General features: G+C 43.9%; 1 non-coding gene across 1 annotated transcript; it reads right to left on the reverse strand.

Annotated features, from left to right (window-relative positions):
- Nucleotides 1–415: 415 nt before the first annotated feature.
- LOC124900438 (small nucleolar RNA SNORA42/SNORA80 family) lies at nucleotides 416–549 on the reverse strand. The gene has a single exon (XR_007067393.1). It is a non-coding gene; the product is annotated as a small nucleolar RNA SNORA42/SNORA80 family (small nucleolar RNA).
- Between the last annotated feature and the right edge of the window lie 8,033 nt (nucleotides 550–8,582).

An 8,582-nucleotide genomic window follows, 5' to 3' on the forward strand; every position in this document is an offset into this window, starting at 1 on the left:
AGGCTGGAGGGCAGTGGCGCAATCTCGGCTCACTGCAACCTCTGCCTCCCATGTTCAAGCAATTCTCCTGCCTCAGCCTCCTGAGGAGCTGGGACTACAGGCACCTGCCACCACAGACAGCTAATTTTTGTATTTTTTAATGGGGTTTAACCATGTTGGCCAGGCTGGTGTCGAACTCCTGACCTCGTGATCTGCCCACCTCAGCCTCCCAAAGTGCGGGATTACAGGTGTGAACCATCGTGCCTGGCCTTCTCTGTGTTTCATTTTGGATAGTATCTATTGCTATGTCCTCAAGTTTATTAATTTTTTTTCTGCAATGTCTTACCTTTTGTTAATCCTATCTAGTGTAATTTTTATTTCAGAAATTATAATTTTCATCTCTAGAAGCTCAACTTGGATTTTTTTGCTTGTTTGACACTGTGCAACCCCCTTCGCTACACACAGCCCATGGGAAGGAGGCTGGGCAATGGTTCAAGGCTCAAGTTTACACTGGCATGGGTACGCTATGAGGCCCACAGAGAAGGGCCCCCAATGAACCCACTACCATGCTGTTGGGTTTGTTTTATGTCTTTCGTTTCTCTACTTATCATGTTTAATCTTTCACCTAAGTTTCTGAATATATGAGATACAACTTAAGATGACCATTTTGATTTTGTTTTTCTGCTTCTATCATCTATGTCAGTTTTGTGAGTTTCAGTTGATATATTGTCCTCCCTGTTATGGCTCACTTTCTCCTGTATACTTCTTTATATGTTTGGTAATTTTTATAGGATCTCAGTCATTGTAAATTTGCTTTATTGGGTGACAGATATTTGTGCATTTCATAAATATCCTTGAACTTTGTTCTGTAATACAGAGTTATTAGAAAGAGTTTGACACTTTCAGGTCTTGCTTCTAAGCTTTGTTTGGCACAACCTGAGCAATGTTTCAACTAGGGGGCTTTTTGTCCCACTACTGAGGGAATACCTTTCTGATTACACTACCCAGTGCTCCACAAACTGAGGTTTTTCAGCCTGGCTGGTCATAACAGGCACTATTTACATTCCTGTGTGAGTTCTAGGTACTGTTCCCTCTTATCCATTCAGAGGATTCTCTCCTCACACATCTGCACTCAACAGGACTCAGCTGAATGCTTGAGGGGATTTGCTGTGGATTTCCAGGGTTTTCTCTCTCTGCAGCCCTCTCATCTCTGTTACTCTGTCCTGCAAACTCTAGTCTCCTTGGCCTCCCTGAGATCCTAGGCCTCCCTCTTCAAGGCAAGGAGATCAATAGTCTCCACTTGGGTTTCCTCTCCCTGTACAACCTAAAAATTCCCTCTAGACAGCAAGCTGTGACAACTGTAGGGAATACCTAATTTGTTTTCAGTCTCTCAGGAATCGTGGTCTTCTGTTACCTGATGTCCAATTTCTGGAATCCTGTTGTTTCCTATATTTTGTCCTAATTCATAGTTATTTCAGGTGGGAGAATAAATCTGGCCCTGTTAGTCTATTGTGGCCCTCATGTTTTTTTAAAAAAACATTTAAAACAAAGTACATGTTTGAAGACTGTATTGTTAAACTTAAAAATATAAAAATATTAAGATCCAAACTTAAAAACATTTGTAATTAAAATTAAGAACTTTGTTTTATTCTGTAACTTACAATTTATTTGTCTTTCATATTTTCACCTGGGAGGGGAGGAAACAAACAAATAATGCTGCAGAGGAATTTTTTTTTTTTTAAGAAAAGGATAGGTAGAAAAGTGGTGGTGAGGATTGGACAGTGATCATTAATTAGGGAAAGAAAGAGGAATAAAGAAACAACAAAAAGAAATCTGCTGGGCAGGGTGGCTCACGCTTGTAATCCCAGCACTTTGGGAGGCCAAGGAGGGTGGATCACCTGAGGTCAGGAATTTGAGACCAGCCTGGCCAACACAGTAAAACCCCATCTCTACTAAAAATACAAAAAATTAACTGGATGTGTTGGTGGGCACCTGTAATCCCAGCTACTCAGGAGGCTGAGGCAAGAGAATCACTTGAACCTGGGATGTGGAGGTTGCAGTGAGCCAAGAACATGCCACTGCACTCCAGCCTTGGCAACAAGAGCAAAACTGCATCTCAAAAACCAACTAAAATAAAAAAAGAAAGAAAAGAAGAAAGAAATCTGATGGGCATGGTGGCACATACCTATAGTCATAGCTACTTGAGAGGCTGGCGGGGGGAAGTTTGAACCAACCTGAGCAACATAGCAAGACCCCATCTCTTTCAAACAAAAAAAGAAAGAAAGAAAAGAAAAAGAAAAGAGATTTGTCTTAGTTATCTACAAATAGTGTGGTAGGAAAGTCCTGAGCTGCGAACCAGAAGACCTGAGTTTAGCCTGTCTTGTGACATTGGTAAAGTTATTTAACCTACTTGATTTTGGAAATTACCATTAAATAAGTAATAGATAAAAATGACTATTACAATGCCTGACACATTGTAAAAACACAATAAATATTAATTGCTTCTGTCTGTTCATTTATATAGTTCACAAATCAGTGAAGATTGAATACAAACCCTTTTTTAAAATGTAGGTTTTATCGGGGGCATGGTGGCTCATGCCTGCAATCCTAACACTTAGGGAGGCCAAGGGGGGCGGATCACCTAAGGTCAAGAGTTCGAAACCAGCCTGGCCAACTTGGTGAAACCCCGTGTGTATTAAAAATACAAAAATTAGCTGGGTGTGGTGGTGCATCCCTGTAATCCCAGCTACTTGGGAGGCTGAGGGCAGGAGAATTGCTTGAACCTGAGACGCAGAGGTTGCAGTAAGCCGAGATCATGCCACTGCACTCCAGCCTGGGCAACACAGCGAGACTCATCTTAAAAAAAAAAAAAAAAGTAGGTTTTATTATACTGGGGTATGGTGAGGCCAACAGATCAGGAGACAATTGCCATTGAAAAGATAGTTGGTTCCTCATAGTTCCTAAGGGGAGAATGCATGCCATGCTGTGCAAGGCCACACAGGGACGCACCACAGTCGGCCAAGAGGCAGACAGAGCAGGCAGGAAACATGGGCAAGAGCTTTTATTGTGGTCCCTATGGGAAGAAACAGGCCAAGCAGGGTAAGCAGGCTTAGGATTGGCTAGTTTAAATAACATCAGCAGGCTCTGGGGTGTAAGGACTGTCTCTATTTTTCTGGTATATGACCCTGGAGTGATTTGGGCAGGGGGATAATGGCCCAGTATCTGACCCCTGCAAGAGCTCAGTAAAGGAGTTGGTTGGGGTACAGGGTCTGGATTGATTCGTTTGCACACGAAAAGGATGCTTATGGGTGAGCCTTTACTATCACTAGGAACTAACTAACCCTGGGAAGCAGGCCTCCAGATGTCAAAGCATCAGAAATCCAGAAAATAAATAGGCATGATTAATACAAAGTCTGACTGCTAAGGTGGGTTAACAGTGTTGTCCTACCATGCCCAGACCTAGCCCTCCTCTCTGCAGCTCCCATGGAGACCACTTGTAACTCAGAAGGGAGGGCAGGGTGGACTGCTTGCAGACCAGGAGCCAAGGCCTTCCTTGCATGCCTGCGTTTCCTCCACAGCCAGAAAGAGTCTCAGCCTGGGCCAGAAGCTCTGGAGGCTGGTTCACCCTGGGGAAATAATGCCACCTGGTGTCAGTCCAAATAATTAGTTCAACACTGTATGTGGTGTGTTATTCAAGTGTTTCTCATAAATAGTTTAATGAATTACTGATGATGATGCCACAGATGAAATAAACAACACTAGAGAAGAAACTTCTGGGTCTCCAGAAGGTGGTATTAGCCTGGTGCAGCTCTGCCCATGACTGGCCCTGAGTGTGATCCTTTGCACTGCCCCAGCAAGTGGAATCATCTGGGGAGCACCCAGCAGCCCTAAGGCCACATGCACTGACTGGTATCTTTATCAGACTCTCTCTCTGCTTGACTTGTATCCTTTTCAATGACAACAAGGCTGCCAAAGTGAGGGGTTGGCTGTAGTCTTGGCAGGATCCCACTTTTGCGACCTGAGATCTCTATCTGACATTGGGTCCCTCCCAATCCCCAAGGTAACACTAGCCACTGGGCCTGGGAGTGGGCCTGCCTGCCAGGGCCTGCAGAGAAGCCTGGCGGGACACCAGTGACTGGCGCGCCTGGGAGTCAGTACACTTGGTCCACAGACCATGACTGCTTGCTTAGGCTCCTGTGGGCCAGTGGCTTTCCACAGAACAAGCTTGTTTCCTGTTTGTATACTACACTCTCAAACCCAGGCAAGGCTATTTACTAGAAAATCCCACCATTCAACTGCTTTTTTTTTTATTATACTTTAAGTTTTAGGGTACATGTGCACATTGTGCAGGTTAGTTACATATGTATACATGTGCCATGCTGGTGCGCTGCACCCACTAACTCGTCATCTAGCATTAGGTATATCTCCCAGTGCTATCCCTCCCCCCTCCCCCAACCCCACCACAGTCCCCAGAGTGTGATATTCCCCTTCCTGTGTCCATGTGTTCTCATAGTTCAATTCCCACCTATGAGTGAGAATATGTGGTGTTTGGTTTTTTGTTCTTGCGATAGTTTACTGAGAATGATGATTTCCAATTTCATCCATGTCCCTACAAAGGACATGAACTCATCATTTTTTATGGCTGCATAGTATTCCATGGTGTATATGTGCCACATTTTCTTAATCCAGTCTATCATTGTTGGACATTTGGGTTGGTTCCAAGTCTTTGCTATTGTGAATAATGCCGCAATAAACATACGTGTGCATGTGTCTTTATAGTAGCATGATTTATAGTCATTTGGGTATATACCCAGTAATGGGATGGCTGGGTCAAATGGCATTTCTAGTTCTAGATCCCTGAGGAATCGCCACACTGACTTCCAAAATGGTTGAACTAGTTTACAGTCCCACCAACAGTGTAAAAGTGTTCCTATTTCTCCACATCCTCTCCAGCACCTGTTGTTTCCTGACTTTTTAATGATTGCCATTCTAACTGGTATGAGATGGTATCTCATTGTGGTTTTGATTTGCATTTCTCTGATGGCCAGTGATGATGAGCATTTTTTCATGTGTATTTTGGCTGCATAAATGTCTTCTTTTGAGAAGTGTCTGTTCATGTCCTTTGCCCACTTTTTGATGGGGTTGTTTGTTCTCTTGTAAATTTGTTTGAGTTCATTGTAGATTCTGGATATTAGCCCTTTGTCAGATGAGTAGGTTGCGAAAATTTTCTCCCATTTTGTAGGTTGCCTGTTCACTCTGATGGTAGTTTCTTTTGCTGTGCAGAAGCTCTTTAGTTTAATTAGATCCCATTTGTCAATTTTGTCTTTTGTTGCCATTGCTTGTGGTGTTTTGGACATGAAGTCCTTGCCCATGCCTATGTCCTGAATGGTAATGCCTAGGTTTTCTTCTAGGGTTTTTATGGTTTTAGGTCTAACGTTTAAATCTTTAATCCATCTTGAATTGATTTTTGTATAAGGTGTAAGGAAGGGATCCAGTTTCAGCTTCCTACATATGGCTAGCCAGTTTTCCCAGCACCATTTATTAAATAGGGAATCCTTTCCCCATTGCTTGTTTTTCTCAGGTTTGTCAAAGATCAGATAGTTGTAGATAAGCGGCGTTATTTCTGAGGGCTCTGAAGTTCTGGCCAGGGCAATTAGGCAGGAGAAGGAAATAAAGGGTATTCAATTAGGAAAAGAGGAAGTCAAATTGTCCCTGTTTGCAGACGACATGATTGTATATCTAGAAAACCCCATTGTCTCAGCCCAAAATCTCCTTAAGCTGATAAGCAACTTCAGCAAAGTCTCAGGATACAAAATCAATGTACAAAAATCACAAGCATTCTTATACACCAACAACAGACAAACAGAGAGCCAAATCATGAGTGAACTCCCATTCACAATTGCTTCAAAGAGAATAAAATACCTAGGAATCCAACTTACAAGGGATGTGAAGGACCTCTTCAAGGAGAACTACAAACCACTGCTCAAGGAAATAAAAGAGGATACAAACAAATGGAAGAACATTCCATGCTCATGGGTAGGAAGAATCAATATCGTGAAAATGGCCATACTGCCCAAGGTAATTTACAGATTCAATGTCTTCCCCATCAAGCTACCAATGACTTTCTTCACAGAATTGGAAAAAACTACTTTAAAGTTCATATGGAACCAAAAAAGAGCCCGCATTGCCAAGTCAATCCTAAGCCAAAAGAACAAAGCTGGAGGAATCACACTACCTGACTTCAAACTATACTACAAGGCTACAGTAACCAAAACAGCATGGTACTGGTACCAAAACAGAGATATAGATCAATGGAACAGAACAGAGCCCTCAACTGCTTTTTTAAGTTTGCTCTTGGACATCCTACCCTTGCCTGAAACTCAATCCATCAAAGATAAAAATTCTTAGACACAGAAGAGCCATTAGAGACTGCTATGTCTAGGGCCCCTGAAAGGAACCAATTAGGTCCCTTGGCAATTTTCTCAATTCGAAGGGCCCATTCAAACTCTTTGCAAAAATTTGGGAAATGTGCGGTTTTTCAGTAGTTTCCATCCCATTGGCAATCAAATTCTCAAAGGGCCCTGAGAAGCCATCAGATACATGTCTTCTCCCAGCTGGCTCTATTTCTTGGCTGACTGTATCTCCTGGCCCCCCTGATTCTGGCAGAGCTTTTTGCCTCCTACCTCATGGCAAATACTGAGGCACCTTTGACCTCCTGCACTCACCGGTGGTCTCACCTCTGTCTGCACCTGTACAAGGCTAGTCTTTCCACCTGTGCTCTCCATCACACATCTTCTTTGTCCCACAAGTTACCCCTTCTTAAATTTTGAACTCGTCTGGTTGCTTCTCCCTGGTCTATACAAAGGTTTCAGGGTTTCTCATGTCAAAACAAAACAACAGCCCCTGCCACACTCCCTATCTAATCTCTGCTTCACACGGTCTGTATTCCTCTACCCACTTCTTGTTCTTTTCTCTACTGCATTGCCAGCTATATGTAATCTCTGAAACCTTTAGTCACTATCACTAGCCTATCTTCTCCTGAGTTCTAAATCTATACTGTTAGAAAGCAGTATTGCTTATGGATCAAAAATGAGGAATCTATGTTCAGCCAGTCTGGGTTCAAAGCCTGGCCCCACCAGTTAGCAGCTGTTGATCTCAAGCAAGTTAACCTTTCTGTGCTTGAGTTTTTCTCTTTGTAAAATCCACCTACATCATCAGTTGTAGTGAGGAATAAATAAGACATGAAATGCTTAGCACAGTGCCTGACACATAACGAATGATCAGTAATGTGAACTATTATTCTTTGCACCTGCACATCCTACAGGTCCCTTACATTCAACATGCCTAGAATTAAACTAACCTTTTCTCCTTGAGCTTCTTCCTCTGCCTGGTTCCCCATTTGTGATTGAGCTTTGCCTGTGAAGGCTGCATTAACTAAGGGCTATTGGCCTCTCTGGGCTTCCTATGGTCTCACCAGCCTCCCATTTGGTCTCCCTGCCTTTACTTTTCCCACCCACCAAACCACTCTCCACACTGCAGTCAAGATTGGCTCATCTTATTCCTCTCCGTAAAAACCCAGTGGCTCCCCATTGTCCATCAGATACAATCTGAACCTTTTTTTTTTTTTTTTTGGAGACAGTGTTTTACTCTGTTGCCCAGGCTCTGGAGTGCAGTGGCACAATCATAGCTCACTCTCACTGTAACCCCAAACTGTTGGGCTCAAGCAATCCTGCCACCTCAGCCTCCCATGTAGCTGGGACTATAGGCATGAGCCACAACACCCAGATAATTTTTTTTTTAATTTCTGTAGAAACAGAGCCTATGTTGCTCAGACTGGTCTCAAACTCCTGGGTTCAAGTGATCCTCCTGCCTTAGCCCCCCAAAGTGCTGGGATTATCGATGTGAGCCACTGCGACTGGCCAAAATCTAAACTTCTAAGCCTGCCATGCAGGGCCCTCTGAGCTTTGGCGCTGCTCCTGTTCCAGGCCCATCCCCACTCTCTCCCCCGTATCCCAGCCTGCTTCCTCTCTTATGCTCCCATGATGCCAAACTGCCAACAGGCGCCCCACAGAGCTGTCCTGCTTCAACACTCTGTACCTGCCTCTCCTTCCCCTGAAACACCCCCACATTCAGCACCTTGTTTCTTCAGACCTGTGAAGTCCATTAGCGTGGAAGTCACAAATGTGCCTTCCTGGATCTACTCTGTCACACTTCTGTGCCTTGGCCCAAAATGCTCTCTCCCCCTTGATCTGCCAAATACACCCTTTTCCTTCTGGTTCCAGAGTTACAACCAGGTGAAGCCATGCCACTTTTGCAGATTTAGCTAGTCCTTCTCTCTGTGCTCCCACGGTGCTCCCATCCTGCCTCTGGTCTCTGTCAGGGCACTGGCACTATCAGCACTATGGTATTTGATGGGAAGACTTTGTTTATGTAGCAGTCTTGCCCTGGAGCGCCTGAGCTCCTCCAGGAGAGTGCCGTATGCACCCTCACCCCACTTCTCCATGTCCTTTCCTGCTTTATTTTCTCCTTAGCACTCATTACCATTGGACATACTACACATGATGCTCATTTGTCCATCTCTCCCCACTAAAATATGAACTCTC

The sequence above is a fragment of the Homo sapiens genome, chromosome 1 (assembly GCF_000001405.40).
Source record: "Homo sapiens chromosome 1, GRCh38.p14 Primary Assembly".
Classification (NCBI taxonomy): Eukaryota; Metazoa; Chordata; class Mammalia; order Primates; family Hominidae; genus Homo; species Homo sapiens.